This window comes from Homo sapiens, chromosome 10, assembly GCF_000001405.40.
Source record: "Homo sapiens chromosome 10, GRCh38.p14 Primary Assembly".
Lineage (NCBI taxonomy): Eukaryota > Metazoa > Chordata > Mammalia > Primates > Hominidae > Homo > Homo sapiens.
In genome coordinates this window covers 34,434,795-34,452,689 of record NC_000010.11, presented here as the reverse complement: position 1 = coordinate 34,452,689, position 17,895 = coordinate 34,434,795, and the positions used below count along the sequence as shown (strand labels likewise).

The window sequence follows — 17,895 nt, the reverse complement described above, 5'->3', positions numbered from 1 at the left end:
CTTTTTGAGCTTGTCCAGAGAGATAATAATCAGCAGTCCATAGCGCCAACAAGACCATTTACGGGAAGAGGAAAAATGGCATAGATTCAGGAAGGAGCAGAGGGGTGGGTACCAGTAGCATACTGGACTCCAGACACCAAAAGGTGAGAGTTGTGTGGAGCCTGAGCTCTTCATTTCAAAAGTAGATCTTTTTCTTTTCAAGTGATATTTTGTCACTATGCAAATATCCAGTTATCTATCAACTCTTAACATAATAGTTTTAGTATGATTATCTTTGCCTGAATTATTTCATTAGGAGTTGAAAATGGTCATATTTCTAATTCTGTTATTAGTTCTATTTCCATTATTTGGCATTCTTCTGAAAAGACAGGTTTCCCCTCATGAACTGGTACTGTTGATTTCTCTGAAATACAGTTCCTACTGAAAAGAGAGGGTAGATTTTTAAAAATACTTTTGGGTTAATTATTCATTCTCTAAGTAAGCAGTTGGTGTAATAATCACCTCAAATGGTGGGAAATGAGTATGAAAGCCTGGTCCCTAGTCAATGATAGCCTCAATTTTTATTTTTGACATAAAAGTTATACTTGCATTTCAGTGTACTTTAATTCCTCCTTCTCTTTGTCGACACATAAGGTTCTGTCACTAATAAATAAAGTTCTGTCATTAACAAGTCTACCCTTTATGACTTATCTGAATTTCTTATTAGTATAAGAAAGTCTTATCAGAATAAGCTTATCAATGTATCTATGGACTATCATATGAAACGGTATTTCCTTTCCTTTTTTCTGAAGCTTAAGTTTTAAGGAGAGACTCTTAGTATCTTGAGATACGGTGAACCTTAGTTTCTAGTTTGCTTCCTTAGTTAGTTTTTGTCCATGTCTTCTCCTTACCATTTCTATTAAAAAAAAAAAAAAAACTTGCTGCTAAAGTTTCATCTTGCTACTGAGTTTTTAAAGATTTTGTTTCTTGCAGGTTAATTCTTAAAGTTTATGAAGTTTCATGTCAAAGTTTATGTTGGTAAATGTTTATCAATTTCCTTTTGTTTGAACATATGTCCCAATATTTACATAAACCCAATACTATCAATTCATTTTTAAGTTTTATTCCCTGATGGAACTCATGAAGGAAGAGCAAATAGTATCCTGATCTATAACTAAGTTTTATACATTGCAAACCTATTATATTGCACTTTTTTGTTTCTGTGTTTGTATTGGGTGTTCATATAGTTTAGCACATGAAGAGTAAGTATCAATCACACATGTAATACTTATAGCCAGATTACTCTTAACAGTGTTACTAAGGATAATATGCCAGTACTTCTTCTAACTTGGTGTACTGAGTTAAGTGGATCCAACTGAAGGTAATATTTTACTTTGTTCTTATAGGAGATGATTTAGATTTCGTCTTTGAACTAAAAAGTTTGACTCCCCTAGTTTATCCTAGCTTTCTCATTTCTTTTCAGAACATTGAAATGAGGTTTTACAGCTCATAAGCCAAAGGAAGTTATTATAATTTTTTATCTGAAAGAAATATCACGTAGCATTTGGTTGTTCTGGGGAGTATTAAAAACTTAGTTGATAAATATTTATGTAAAGACATCGCTTGTTATATCCATGTCACAGTGAACAATTACGTATCTGTTATGTAACAAATAATAGTGATAGGCCAGTTTTTTCCCCTGATGTTTGAGTTAATGCTGACTGCTATCTTGTGAAGTAGGTAATAGAAACAGCCTGAATAATCTAAATCTCTTATCCAAAAATCACAAAACCATAAGGCTTTGAAGAAAGGGCAAATTTATTAATCTTCCTTATTTTTAGCATTTCTGATGAATTAAGATGGTACCTCATAATTTAATTATGAGACTGGAAAGAAGGGAAAATGCCACAGTTGAGAGAGAGTGAAAGTCTTGTATAGAAGTACTTTTCACTTTTTGGTGTACGTACTTGGTTTAGGTGATTGATTTGGGTAGGAGTGCAAAGTGTAGTGTTTTGTCTGTTGTGTGCCGTGTGTGTGCCACCCTTCCTGCTGTAATTATTAGACTTGCCTGTCCTCGGCACATGGTTATAATTCCGAGGTCTAATCTGGGTGGAATGTCCTCAATCAGCTATTTTGTATAGGATTGGAAAGATGTTTTAAATATGTAGAATCATTTTTCTGCTACTTTTGAAAAACCAGGTGCATTACTGATTTGCAAGGTCTGGTTTTTTACAAGACACCTTTTTGTTTCTTTTTGAATAGAAAGATGAAAACTACAGAAGCCTCCCGCGGGATACTAGTAACTGGTCTAACCAATTTCAGAGAGACAATGCTCGCTCGTCTCTGAGTGCCAGTCACCCAATGGTGGGCAAGTGGCTGGAGAAACAAGAACAGGTAACATGACAAATCCTTATATGTGCGTCATTGCTGTAACATCCTGTCCCATACCCCAAAGATGTTTCTCCCATCTCAATCACTGGTGATGATTAAAAGTTAATTATTCTAACAAACTTTAGTTAAGTACCAATCTCTATGTCAGAGTTTATCTAACATAAATGCAGGATATTTCTGGCTGGTCTCTGATCACAGATTTATTGTGAGCAGTTATGAATATTTGCAGTACATTCTGAAGGTTCAGGGCTTTAGAGTTTGTAATGCTACAGAGGCACAGATGTTTGGCAGTGAATCATGCTGTTAGTGAGTAGACTTTCAAGACTCTTCTCTTCTTTAATAGGCAGTAAGTCCAAGGATCTGAAGACGCAAATTAAAACTTTCTGTTGTACCTAACTTCACTGTATGAGAGAAATATATCCTATGGTGTTGTTTTAGAATTTAGATTACGGTATTTTGTCATGTTTGGGCACTTATCCCTTCATAAATTTCAAGGACCTATTTTAGGTTTATCAGTCTTTAGAGTTATCTGTTTCACTGTGCAGTGCAGCCACCTACAATTCGTGAAATCAGAATTGTTTACCACTCAGAAATAATTGTTTTCTGCCTTGGGAAGAATGACTATTTACAAAGTTGTTGCATCACTTAGCAAAGTCCTCCTTTCATATGGAAGACTCAGAATGTATCTGATGAGTTACTTTTTTTTTTCCACTTTTTTTTTATACTTTAAGTTTTAGGGTACATGTGCACAATGTGCAGATTTGTTACATATGTATACATGTGCCATGTTGGTGTGCTGCACCCATTAACTCGTCATTTAGCGTTAGGTATATCTCCTAATGCTTTCCCTCCCCCCTCCCCCCACCTCCAATGAGTTAATTATTTCAGTGTTTTTTTTTTAATGCTTCAGTTGTTTTTATTGACTCACAATGGGTTTTTTGTAGTAGGGAATCCCAGTGTTTTATAATTTTAATTGTGCTTTCTTCCAGCTTTATTGAAGTATAATTGACAGATAAAAATAGTATATATTTAAAGGGTACAGTATGAGGTTTTTATATATGTATATATTAATACAATGATTACCACAATCAAGATAATTTATCTGCCGGGTGCGGTGGCCCACTCCTGTAATCCCAGCACTTTGGGAGGCTGAGGTGGGTGGATCACGAGGTCAGGAGATCGAGACCATCCTGGCTAACATGGTGAAACCCTGTCTCAACTAAAAATACAAAAAATAGCCGGGCGTGGTGGCGGGCACCTGTAGTTCCAGCTACTGGGGAGGCTGAGGCAGGAGAATGGCGTGAACCCGGGAGGCAGAGCTTGCAGTGAGCCGAGATCACGCCACTGCACTCTAGCCTGGGCGACAGAGTGAGACTCTCTCTCAAAAAAAAAAAAAAAAAAGATAATTTATCCATCACATTACATAGATATAATTTTGTGTGTATGTGTGGTGAAAACACTTGAGATCTATTCTGTTGGCAAATTTTTTAAAATTTAATTTAATTTAATTTTTTTGAGATAAGGTCTTGCTCTGTCACCCAGGCTGGAGTGCAGTGGTGCAACCATAGCTCACTGCAGCCTCGAACTTCTAGGCTCAAGTGTTCTCTTACCTCATCCTCCCTGGTAGCTAGGACTATACATGTACACCACCATGCCCAGCTAATTAAAAAAAAATGTTTTATTTTGTGGAGACGGTCTCCCTTTGCTATCCAGGCTAGTCTTGAACTCCTGGCCTCAAGCAATCCTACTGTCTTGGCCTCCCAAAGTGTCATGGTTATAGGCATGAGCCACTGTGCCTAGCTTCTTAGCAAATTTCAAGTATAAAATATGTTTATTAGACTCACCTAATGCTATACGTTAGGTCTCCAGAGTTCATTCATCTTACAATTGAAAGTTTTTACCCTATGGCCAATATTTTTCCTTTTTCCACACCCAACTCCCTGTGGTAACTGCCATCGTACTCTGTTAGCATGAGTTCATTTTTTTTTTTTTCCAAGATTCCACTTATAAGTAAAATCGTACAGATTTTGTCTTTCTGTGTTTGGCTTATTTCTTTTAGCATAATGCCCTTTAGGTTCATCCATGTTGTCACAAATGTCAGAATGTCCTTTTTTATTAAAGGCTGAATAATATTCCATTTTATACATTTATGTGTACACACACACACACACACACACACACACACGCAGTGTATATCACATTTTCTTTATCCATTCATCGGTTGCAGGTCACTTAGGTTGTTTCCATATCTTGGCTATTGTGAATTTATGCTTCTGTGTACATGGAATTGCAAATATGTCTTTGATATAGTGATTTTATTTATCATGGATATATATGCAGAAGCAGAATTGCTGGATCATATGGTAGTTCTATTTTTTTAAGTTTTTGAGGAGACTTCTTACTGTTTCATAGAGGCTGTCCTAATTTACATTACCACCAGCAGTATACCAGGGTTTCCTTCTCTTCGCATCCTTGTTATCACTTTCATTTTGACTTTTTTTTCTTTCTTTCTTTTGAGACAGAGTCTTGCTGTGTCGCTCAAGCTGGAGTGCAGTGGTGCGATCTCGGTTCACCACAACCTCTGCCTCCTGGGTTCAAGCAATTCCCCTGCCTCAGCCTCCTGGGTAGCTGGGATTACAGGTGCCCACCACCACGCCCAGCTAATTTTTTTTTGTATTTTTAGTAGAGACGGGGTTTCATCATGTTGGTCAAGGTGGTCTTGATCTATTGACCTCATGATCTGCCCGCCTCGGCCTTTCAAAGTGCTGGGATTGCAGGTGTGAGCCACAGCAACTGGCCCTTTTTTTTTTTTTTTTTTTTTTTTTTTTTTTTTTTTTTTGAGACGCAGTCTTGCTCTGTTGCCCAGGCTAGAGTGCAGTGGCACAATCTCAGCTTACTGCAGCTTCTACCTCCTGGGTTCAAGCAGTTCTGCTGTCTCAGTCTCCAAAGTAACTGGGATTACAGGCACACACCACCATGCCCAGTTAATTTTTTGTGTTTTTAGTACAGATGGGGTTTCACCATGTTGGCCAGGGTGGCCTCAAACTGCTGACCTCAAGTGATACACCTGCCTCAGCCTCCCAAAGTGCTGATCTCAGGCGTGAGCCACTCTACCCGGCTGTATTTTGATGTTTTGATAACAGCCATCCTACCAGTGTGAGGTGATGTCCTACCTTGCTTTTGATTTACATTTCCCTGGTGATGAGTGATGCTGATCATTTTTCAGTGCTTTTAATAAAAAGCCACGTGTTTGTTTAGTTGGTCACTTATTTTCTTTAAAAAGTTTATATGGATAGAAAGCAAGGTGGGTACTCAGAGAGGGTTTAGTTGCTTTATTAATTTTTAAAATTATTAATGATTTTGTTGACTAAATGCTGGAATAAATTGTTTTTCAATTTAGATTAATGACAGCTGTAGAAAGAAATCATAAATGTTTTACATATTTCATCTCAGCCTATGTTTTATGGTATAAAGATCCTAAAGTAATTTCATGGATGTAGGGTATTAAAATATGAAACAGCAAAAAGGGACAGCTTGCCTTGCACACCGTGATGGCACAGGAAATGTCCTAATTTTGTCATATATTAAGTGTTAGCATACAAACATTGTGTGATGGAAATAATTTTAAATAATAAAACAGCCATGGCAGTTCTATGAAGGAAACATAATTTTCTCAACATAATTCGGATTTTTAAACTAATTGATATTAGTATCTTATTATTACTTTGAAATAAATGTTTTTAAGATTTAGATAGTTTCTCATGGACCCAGAAGTCAGACTGACTGGTTACTAGCTGTTTACCATATATGAGATTTGGGCACATTACTCTACTTGTCCATACATCAGTTTACTCATCCAGCAAATAGGGATAATTGTAGACCTTGTCTCAGGGGTTGCCGTGTCAAGTGATACAATACCCGCCAAAGGCTTAGAATCAGGGCTGGTACCTAGAAATACTCAACGTATTAATATAATAGGACAGGTAACAGACAACCTGGAATCTAGAATGAGGAAATGTTTGGCATATATGTAGCAGGAAGTCTGGAGCTAGGGAATATGTGGGAGTTAACTCTGTAGCTTAGCAACCTCACTCACATTTTTTCAGGGAGCCTTCCTGAAGGCCACCTTAGCTCTGTGCTCTAGCTTGTCCTTTTCTTTCAGAGCCACATCCTTGCACAGAGGAAGGGGAACAGGGCCTTTGTCTTCTTTTTGTGGCTCTTTGTAAAAGCAAATACATTTTTCCTAATAACCTCCTGACAGATCCCTGATCATGTTTGTTGGCTGGAATTGCCCTACTCTTCTGCCCATATCAAAATCAAAGGGAGTAAAAGCACCAGTATAGGTTTTGATGGATAGAGCTTGACCCCTGGAACTGGGGCTGCGGTGGGAGCTCCCTTCTTTACCTTCCCTGAAACACAGTTTCCCATCACTTCACACAGTCAGATCTGTTAAGCAAGGGATATGTGGGCAGGGATGGGGAGTGACGACCAGAAGTTGGTTGAGTAAGCTAAATAGGACTTTTTTTTTTTTTAAATACTGCAAAATTGGTAGAAAAAGATTGGTAGCCCAGAGCTTCTAAAATATGATACAGCTTAATTATATCATAAAGATATAACTTTTATGATTCTACTGTCATTGTAGACCTGTTTTTAAGGAAGTAGTATATTCTTTGTAATTTTGTTATAAAATAGTTTCTTTTTAAGCAAAAGGGATGGCATTGAGAAGCCACACACACCAAAGACCGAGCTTTGATTTGCTTCTGTTGAAGTTATTTGAGTTAGTTGTCTATGTGGACTGAGAAGGTACCTAAGTCTAAAAACATCTTCTTTGGCATAAGTGTAAAAAAATGATGTTCCATTCCTGAAATTTGATTTGAGTGAAACTGTATACTAGAAGAGTAGAAGCCACTGATGTTTTCACATCCAGCAGAATAATTGATTAAACTAAAATCTGTTGAAGAGGACAAGAACCACAGAAACAAAACAAAACTCCCTCTCAAATTTTTTCAGAAGTAAGCACTATTGTTTGTGCAGAAGAGGAATCTTAGGTTATGCTTTATACACTAGAAATCTATTCCAATTATTCCCATTTAATTATGGATTTATTCTGTTAACCATTCCCGGAAAGTCATCTGACTTTAATGACCTGATGTCTCTTCTGAGGCTTTCTTTTTCTCTTTAGTTTTTGCTATTAAACATATAATAAAGAGGATTGCATCATGTACATGAAAAAATATTTTGTATGCTTAAAAAAAAAAATCCTCTGCCTTTCCAATTTGGGAACACCAGGGTAGAACTGATGGCCATCTTCCTTTAGTCGTGTGGTCTGGAGTGAGGTCAGCAGAGTTCTAGATTTTATGTGCCTCCAGTGGTTTTGTTTTTGCTCTGTTTTCTACTTAATGCTTATCTCTCATTATCTGTTTCTGAAGGCAGTTATGACCTTATCAGCTTTTCCAGTGGGAATAAGCAGAAGGAATGGAAAGGCAAAAGAGTGCTTTAAAGTGCTAAGCTAGCTGGCCCCTCTAGAAGTCTGGGGTGTCTTATTCTTTGGGTGGTATTGGTCCTACTTACGGGGATAGTGAATCTTCTTTCTATAAGAATATTGGTTAGTTTTACTTCAATAAGAAAAGATAGGTTGTATGTCTTATTAGAAGTCTGTAGCAGCAAGCACAATATGATTTCCAAAAAGAGTAGCCGGGGTTTTCAGTGACTAATCACCTTGTTCAGAATAGCCCATAGCTGAATCCTACATCAGAGTCATCTCACAAGTTATGCTTCTGAAATTTTGACTCTGACACTCAAGAAACAAACGAACAAAAAACAACAGCACTTTTAGTTTTGATGTTTGACAGTGTTTTAAGAAGTTCAAATTCCTTTTTAATGGTAACTGTTTCCCTGACTCAGCATAGAATATAGTTTGATATTGGCAGATAATAGATCATAAGCTGACTTTGTTCTTATATTCCCACACTTTATTGCAACTAATAAATTCCACAGAAGAGGCAGCAGGGACTTTGTGATACATGACTGGAAGAATTTAGGACCAGAAGGTAGAGGGACCTTAAGGAAAACATAAGCTAATTGGGAGCCTGCCATTTTCACAACCTTCTCTTGTTGAATAGGCCTGAGCCCAATTAGCAGAAACAGCAGAGAGGCACAAGGCACATTCCAGCCACTGCTTAAGCTCTGTTATAGGGGAATGACTGCCCTGACCTTTAGAGCAAAATCCATGTTTTTTCCATGTTTTAGGGCTCTCTCCATCAAGAAAAACATCTTTTAATTGGAGATTATACAAACAGGCAAACTGGAGGGAAAACTGACTTAAATGTTTGTTGATGAAGACAAAATGCCGATGTCTACGTCATTTTCATACCTTTGGCAGCTACAAAAGAATCCCACCATCCAGTGTCAAGTCTCAAAGTCTCAGAGGCCAGAGTTTTGGGAGCAATGATGATACCTTTTTTCCTTTTTATTTTATATACCTTTGTCACTTTCTGCAGCTGTGATGCTTTTTCTTTATACTTTTCAGAATATTTATGCATTATAAACAATATTCACATGATACATGTTGTGGTTTGGCTGTGTCCCCACCCAAATCTCATCTTGAATTGTAACTCCCACAATTTCCACGTATTGTGGGAGGGTCCTGGTGGGAGGTAATTGAATCATGGGGGCAGGCAGGTCTTTCCCATGCTGTTCTCATGATAGTAAGTCTCATGAACTCTGATGATTTTAAAAATGGGAATTTCCCTGCTCGAGCTCTTTCTTTGCCTGCCGCCATCCATGTAAGATGTGACTTTCTCCTCCCTGCCTTCCACAATGATTGTGAGGCCTCCCTAGCCGCATGGAACTGTAACATGTCCATTAAACCTCTTCCTTTTGTAAATTGCCCAGTCTCGGGTATGTATTTATCAGCAGCATGAGAACGGACTAATACAATACACAATATATAAGTTATATTCAAAAATTATTTGAGAAGGTAAGTTTCTATGAGTTTAATTTTTTGTTTTCATTATAATTTACAGCCAAATTCTTGAAGATTGAGGGCAAAAGTAAATTTAAAAACTAGTGAAGAAACATTTTTCAGCATATCCAGGTTTTATGGAGGCAGTTTTTTAAAAATGTGTTTTTCTCCAGGCTAGTCAATATAATTGTGGACGCAAGTTTTGCCTAGGTTTTAGCTTGTTCTTATAAAATGGTGGGTGTCTGGGATGATCAACCTGTGGTTCCTGTGTCCACACGACTTACCAGAGTTGTTTTTTTTCCACTGATCTGCCTACATAGAAGAAAATCCCCTTCCTTGCCCAAGTGCTTACTAGCCTTTTCTAAGTGAAAAAAAAAAATCTCATTTCCCTGAGATCTAGAACTATCCAGATGACATAAAGAAGATGTTTTCTGGAGTATGAAATGATAATGTTTTCTTATCTTTTTTCTGTTTTAATCTTTAAGAGGCTGGGTTCTTGCTCTGTTGCCCAGACTGGGGTGCAGTGGTGCAGTCATAGCTCACTTCAGCTTCAAACTTCTGTGCTCAAGCAATCGTCCTGCTTTAGCCTTCTGAGCAGCTGGGACTACTGATGCACACCATCACTCCTGGCTAATTAAAAAAATTTTTTTGTACAGGTGGGGTCCCGCTATGTTTCCCAGACTGGTCTCAAACTCCTGGCTTCAAGTGATTCTCCTGCTTTAGCCTCCCGAAGTACTGGGATTACAGGTGTGAGCCATGATGCCTGTATTTTCTTTCTTTCTTTTTTTTTAACGAATGTGAGGCCTTTTAAATGTTGCCCAGGTTGGCCTCGAATGCGTAGCCTCGCCTCCTTGTGCGCCAGGACAACCGGCCTGAGCCACCGGGGCTCCCCTCAGTGCCTATATTTTCTTAATTACAATAGGAGGTGGTTTATTCAGCAATCTGATTACAACAACTTCAGATCGGTCAGGGAAATGACTGAGGGGTCACAGCATTAAACCGTGGAAGAGCTATAGAAAGTCTGATATAGGAATAGATAGGGCTTCATGGTATCTGCCATCATTGGTGAGACTTAAGGATAGATTCTGATGCTGCCAGATAGTAGTTAAGATGTGGGTTTTTTGGGTTTGTTAATTCTGTAGCGTGAAGTCAATGAGGATCCAAATGACTGTTCATATTATTTGGTTAAAAATAAACTAAGCCCTTTGCCTCCAAATTCTAAAAGTTCTGTGGAAAGGAAGGGATTTATTATTATTTACCAGTTGGCAAACCTTCATAAAATTTGTAGAGAAGCAAAATAGTCGTGTTTATCTCTAGCAACACCAAATGTAGAAACTAAAAACATCAAGATTGTTTTAAAATTAAACTTACTTTTCATTATAAAATACCAGAACTTCTATTTTATAAGATAAATCTGTTATGTCCCCAATAACACCCAAAATAAAACCAAAACAACCTTTTAAGAGACTTGTTACCTGGATATATTAACGCCAGTAGCAGATTATTTTGTTGTGCTTTGATAATAGAATCCCTGGTATTCTAACACGTGTTAAAATTATTTTTTAAAAAAACAATGATCAAAACACCCTATATGTATGGGACACATTATTTTCCATGATCCCTACATATTTTCTGCTTTTATTATCCAAGAATTCTGGACTAGAAACCACAGTGGAAGCACAGGACCGGAGTGTGGGGCTCTGGTGGACGTTCTTCTTAGAAGGACACACACATTTTCTGGGGAGCTTCCAGTCATGTGCAGGGTTACTTTTAGGAGTACCAGATGGCATTCTACTTTTCCATATATTTAACAACAAAAGACATAGTGAATCTGGGAAGCATGTTTCAGGGTTGGAAACCTGTCCCTCCAATGAGTGTGTCCTGTTTCTGACCCCTAAGACTGGTTATATAGAAATAAAGAAAGATAAACTATGCAAACTTCATTTTCATTGTATACAAAATGGGGAAAATCATACCCATTTGGCAGATGTTAACTTTGTGGGCAAAGCTGAAGTGACACAGCACACATTCCAGTGCAGACCCAGTTTCTTGTATATTAAAGACACTCATAAGATGTTTTCTTTCATATCTTTTTAGGTAACATTAGGTTTATTGGTTATACCTCAACAACTCCCTCAAGTATTGGGTATCTCGTTTTCTTAAATTTTGTTTTTCTCCTTGCATATTGGAAGTACCATTAGGTATGCTGGGGTGGTTTATTTTCATCCCTGGTGTATTTCTAATGCCCCCATCGTCATTTCGCAATTTGATTTTTGCTTCCGTGGCATCTTCTCAGAATTAGAATAAAATTTAACCTTTTAAAATCATCTCTGGTTCTTTTCTGAAGAACATAATCTGACACAAAAATGACATCAGTGTTAATCTCTATGTCTGCTTCCATTCCTTATATTCTCTTTTGTTTTTGGCGGGCGTGTGTAGTTTTAATAAGATTAAATGTAAGGATACCATTAAGAATGCTAAGTATCTTCATGAGAGCTTCTGCTTGACCACTTGCTAGGCATCTGGGTCCCTTCGTGATATGAATGGAGTTTGGAGGGCACAGCATCACTCATTTGCTTTTGGACCTGGGGTGTGCAGTTGAATGGGGGTACTCATCAATTTCTCCTTTAAAACAAATTTTACAACTGTCTTTATTTATTGCTTCTTTGGCCTATGGAGCTAAAAGCCTGCAAGCAGCGGGGAAGTAAGTTAGAAATTTTACTGAGTGAAAAATCTTTGGTGGTGTGTGGATTAACCTTCAGGGGAAGTCTGTTAGGAGCTGATGGTTTTCTTACCTGTGAATACTACTGCTAGAACTAGACATTTAGAGCTTGCACTACGGAGAAAGATACATTTTCATTTTTAACTTTGACCTTCAGGTGCCTTTGCATATTTTCATTGCAGGCAGTCTTAAAGATTTTTGTTGTGAGCTGTGTGATTAAATACGACAATGGAAGGAATACATGCTTTATACTATAACTCTCTTTATTCCCACCCATCTGTACGTCATTTGCTTTTGAAATTTTGTTCTTTATTTCTACGTTCCATCTATGTTCCATGAGCTGTGCAACTGCTATTCTTTAAAAAATACTGGTTATGAAATTGCATTAACATTTTCATCCTACAATGTGTTTTTTTCACTGCCTGTGTCCTACAAGCCTGCTTTTAGAAATTGAATCACTTTTATAAGTCATTTTTAATTTTGAAATTTTATGATCTAGCTATTTAATCTATTTCTATCCAGGACTTTCCCAGTTACCTTCAACATGGTCTTGAAATGGCCCTAAAAAATTCCCGTCTTCAGTGTTCAAACATTTTGCCCGGTGGTTGTATGTTTTCTTCCCACCGCTGAGGCCTGGGTATATGTGCCCTATAGTATTTTTGTGACTTCTGTAGATATATGAGCCATGTTTTTCCTTTATTTTTGAATTTTTTTTTCCTGTGCTCTAATGGCGGTAGGAGATTGTGGATTATCTTTTTAAATAGCTGAACAAATTATAAAGAAATTAAAGTACGGTATTGCGGTAGGGTTGGCGTAGGCTTTTGGGTCTCATTTCATGTGTCAGTATTATTACTGTCCTTTATAGTAGGCACGTAATACTTTTGACATGTTATTATTTTTAGTAATCTCAGCACTTTGGGAGGCTGAGGCAGGTGGATTACTTGAGGTCAGGCGTTTGAGACCAGCCTTGCCAACATGATGAAACCCTGTCTCTACTAAAAATAAAAAAATTAGCTGGGTGTGGTGGCACACGCAGTAATCCCAACTACTCAGATGGCTGAGGCAGGATAATCATTTGAACGTGGGAGGCAGAGGTTGCAGTAAGCCAAGATTGCACCACTGCACTCCAGCCTGGGCAACAGAGTGAAACTCTCTCAAGAAAAGAAAAAAAAATTAAAAAATGTTTTTATTTTTAATACATAACTTCACAAGGTTGGAAGACTGAGCTTTTTTTTTTTTCTGCAAGTTACTGTCATTTCCAAATTGTAAGATGGAATTGCAGTCTTGATATGTGTTGGAATTAAGTTTAACCCTTTGAGAAGCACCACCTCTTTTCCTACCTTTAGTAAGCCCTTTAATTCTCCGAAGTAATTCATTAACTCTTCTGACCTAGCTTTTTATTCCATTGAAAAAATGAAAGCCTGGTTCCCACCACCATTTTTACAGCCCTGCCCTTCCTCGCATGCAGAAGCTTCCCTGACCTCTCAAACACCAAAGTTTTCACTCTCATCCTGTCTCCCAACCCTTCCCAGTATTAGGACGTTGCTTTTGTATTAATCTCCTGTCTACGGAGTCATGCACATAATCTCCTGTCTTCACAGTCGTGAATGTCTCTTGTTTTTCTCTCTCTCTTCTAGAACTTTCCTATCAGCAGATAGACTCAACCAACCCCAGTCCTCCCTGGCAAACCCCTGTCTCATTGTGGCACCAGCCTGGCTTGCACTCCCTCACAGTTCACACACTTGGTTCCCACTTAGCTTTCATGCAGTCACCTGTCTTCCCCTCAGGGACTTTCCTCCATCCCCCCATTTGATGGCGGGTGATATCCCTGCAGCCTTCTGTTATTGTCTCTTTGCTCACCATCCTTTTCTCTGTGATATTTATGAATCTAAATTTGTCTTTTGTTTCTTTTTTATTTTTTATCTTTCTGTCTGTTTTGCTGTCCTAAAATGGCCCAGGCATTGTCTTGTTTACTATAGCTCCTAGTGAACCCTTATATACTTTTGGGTAAATAGTCTTTCAATAAATTGAAAGGAAAAAGTTCATAATGTCCCTACTTTTTCTGATATCATGTATTATGGGTGGATCTTTGTTGGGTGAACTATATTGACTCTTTTATAATGCCATATAATGTGATATGGTGATTTTCATTAATTATGGGCTATAAACTGTAGATTATAGGTAAATAAATGAAAACTTGATGAAGACATGTACATTTGTAAACCTCATAAATAGTTGTACTATTTTGATGACATTATTGCTTATAACTTAGCATCTGCATATGACAAAAAGAAAAAAATGATTATAAACTAAAGGACCAAGAAATGGAGGGAAATGTAAGTTCTCTCAAAGTAATGCAATGTTCCTATTTTTTTAAATCTTGATATGATGGAGAGCACAGCCTTTCTTGTGCATAAGTTTAATCGTTTGTGAACTTTCTTCAAGAATGTCTTGTAGTTGAACATGGATTCAGTGTTAGAAGATAAGCCCGCTCAGTCTGTCCCCGCTGGCCTGTATCCAGTGGTGTCTGCTGTATCACCGCTGATCACACTAGCCGTGGGAAAGCCACCTGGCTCTCCAGAGGCTTTGTAGAGGGAGTGAGGGGGCAGAGGGTAAGAGCTGCTATGAGCTACTTATGTGAGATTTTTGTGGGACAAAAGGAAAAGCCAAAAAAGTGTTCTTATAGGCCCAAGATAGTTGTCAACTCTATTAGCTCTAAAAGTATTTAATTAAATATTTAAGATGTTTAATTATCAGGAAATATTAAATAACTCTTCATGTTTATATAACTAAAGTGACATAAGTTTTCTGTTAAATTGGAAAAACAATATTTGAACAAACCATTTGATTATATTGAATAATTTATAAGCAATTGATTTGAACATAACATAGTTAAATATTCCCTCCATAAAATATTACGTATTTTACTTGTTTGCGAGCTGATTTTAGCTGTTTAAAATTTTTTTCTTTAGAGAGTCCAGGGGTTTTTCATTTTTATTCAAATGAAAATAAATTATACTGTTAATTTAAGACCCCAAACTGGCAAATTTTTTTTCTTGGAGATGAATTTTTTTCTTATTCTAGGAACAATGGATGTTTGCTTACATGTTCAATATATAAAACATGGATGTTACAAATTCTGATCTACCATTAATATGTAATACCTAGTATATAGCTTTTGGGGAGTATTTTCCTCAGTTCTCTGAGTAAAGCTTTTTTTGTACATGGATATTTGGTAGAAATTGACATTTGATATGAGAATTATTTTGAGTTTTGGAAATCATTTTCAAATACAGAGGAAATATTCTTCATTATGGTATTGCATAAAAAGTTTCTTAGTCACTGGAGTGTATCCTGGTTTGAGGATACCCCATACAGGCTATAGAGGATTTTTTGTTTTTTTGAGTTGATGATGATAGGTGTCCCAATTCCTTATTATCATTAGGGTTCATTAGACTTCTGTATGAGACACAGGATTCTAATCTTCCCTGTTCCCATGGGATACAGTATAACTCTTCAGACTATAGGGGGATTAATTTGATAACATTCTTTAATTTTTAAAATATTTATTTGAATTTTGCAAAGGTGATACATTCATAGTTCTAAAATCAAACGTTATACATGGAGATGCAAAATAGTAGTCTCCCTCCCCCAACTCTCTATTAGCTAGCTCTCCTCCCCGTATTCAGCCACAGTTATTTGTTTCTTGTGGCTCCTTTCAAATGGTACCATGCTTTTATGAGCAAATACGGAAACATATTCTCTTTTCACCTTTTTATATAAATACTACTACAGTATCCTGTGCTTTGATTTTTTTTTTCTTAATATAGCTTGGCAATCCTTATAGACTGACACATAAAAGGTGTCCATTTTTGAAACACTTTGATAATTTTCCTTTGTATAGCTGGGCCAGTGTTTATTGATGGGCATTAAGGTTATTTACTATCCTTTGCTGTTGCATAAATATACTGCAGTAAATAACCTGTTATAGATAAGTCATTTTGTATTGAGTTTCTCACAGAAGTATGCCTAAAAATGAAATTGTATGTTTACACATTGTACAGGAATATTACATACATTTGTAACTTTGATAGATGTTGTCAACCTGACCTCAGTAGACATCGTACCATGTTGCACTCCACTAGCAATGCCCAAGAGACCCTGTTCACTCTATCACCTCACATTGTGACATGATGTTGTATGCAGTCTATTAAACTGACTTGATCAGTTATACCTTTAAAATATCTCCCTTTACACATTCTCTAAAGCAGAAGGCTGTTGATGGAGTTGGCCAACATACAGGCTGCAAGTGGGCTTCCTATACTGTTTAGGAGCACAGACCATTCAAAACCTTCCCCTTTCCTCCAACAAATAAACAACAGTTAAGGAAAAGGACGTCTTGGGGTGAGAGTTGGGTTCTTCTTGCTCTGTTAGAGCATTGAGTTCAATTCTTTAGCATTTGCTCAGATGTCAGTCACTCTGAAATGCACATAAATCAAATGAGACTTTCTGAAAGTTCTTACCTTTGGCATAACTTGTGTATTCTTTTCATATTCTAAATTTCGTATTTGATTCATATTTTTATATTTTCAACTGGAATTGAGTTATTACCCCTGAGCATTCCTATCTCCTATTTGATAGTTGTTGTTTTTGCATACTTTGCCAGAATGAAAATGAGTAGAATGACGGGGACAGAAAAAGGACAAGATTTTCTTTTTTTAAGATGGGTAGTTCACTAAGTGCTTCTTGAAAAGTAAGAGTTTTATGCTGTGTTCTCAACAGTAACTTTTGCCCATAAATTCTGTCTGAACAGAATCAATAGTGTTTTCTTCCCTTAGTATATCCCAAAGCGGGGTGCTTTGTAATTTACTTCTGTGTTAACTTTTTTCCTGTTATGTCTTAGACTGTATGTTATATGATAGTATAGAAGCCACCTATGTGAAATATTTAAACTTTTGTGAATGAATGTGGTCTTCTTGCCAAACGTAAACATACTATGTTTTTCTCGATTGCTCGGGTTCACTGAAGAAAGCACACCTTCTTAAGATACAAGATTTCTGTTGATGGGATTGGTCTATTTGGGGGCTTAGTCAACAGATATTAGTGTCTCATTTGTAACCTTTCTCATACCATGAAAGGTTGTTGGCAATTTGTATTCTCATTATCTTACTACCTATTTGGATCTGGCAGTCTTTCTCTTTCTTTCATTGTTCCATCATTTATTGGCTTAAATGAGTATTTGGAAGTCCTGGCTGGTAAGAATTCTGTGTCTTTGGATATATTGATTCGTTGACTCTAGGAAGCAACTGATTTTAGATTGTTCTTGATGTTTCCAAACTTTTCCCTTTCTGATGTTTAAGAAGTTGAGATGATGAAGTGTTGCCATCTGCAATTACAACAAAAGTACCAGAGATAGCCACAGTGACTTCCTTTTTTTTTCCTGTTATTTGTAATATCAAAATGTAAACCAGAAACAGCTATGCACACATATACACAGGATAAATAAGTATTAAATTAATATTAGATATCAAATGTGGAATTTCTGAAATTGCATGTAAGTGTTTAGAATGACAGAATGTTTAAATGTCTTTTACCGTTCCCTGATACCTTTATTTATTTTGGTTTTCTATCTCTTATATGTCAACTTGTCCTAATTAATTAAATTAATTTTATGCTTGATCAAAATAAATACAGAATTTGTGCAGCTCATAGCAAAGCCTCGTGTGAATGTGAATATGTGCTGGTGTGTGAATGTGATAGTTATGATGTTATTTTGAGGCTATTTTCACTAAGGAAAAGACAGTCCAGGATCCTGATATTGCACCTTTTATCAGCCATT

At 36.9% G+C, this 17,895-nt stretch overlaps 1 protein-coding gene across 11 annotated transcripts in view; it reads left to right on the top strand.

The window, feature by feature from the left end:
- PARD3 (par-3 family cell polarity regulator) overlaps window positions 1-17,895 on the top strand; it is a 705,736-nt gene that overhangs the window by 362,607 nt on the left and 325,234 nt on the right. For 9 of the 11 annotated variants that reach the window (NM_001184789.2, NM_001184788.2, NM_001184786.2 and 6 more), the window contains exon 5: window positions 2,242-2,373. The exons of the other annotated variants lie outside the window; for them this stretch is intronic. In NM_001184789.2, the coding sequence (NP_001171718.1) occupies window positions 2,242-2,373 (132 nt within the window). The remainder of the gene's footprint in view (window positions 1-2,241; window positions 2,374-17,895) is intronic. 11 annotated transcript variants of the gene reach the window in all.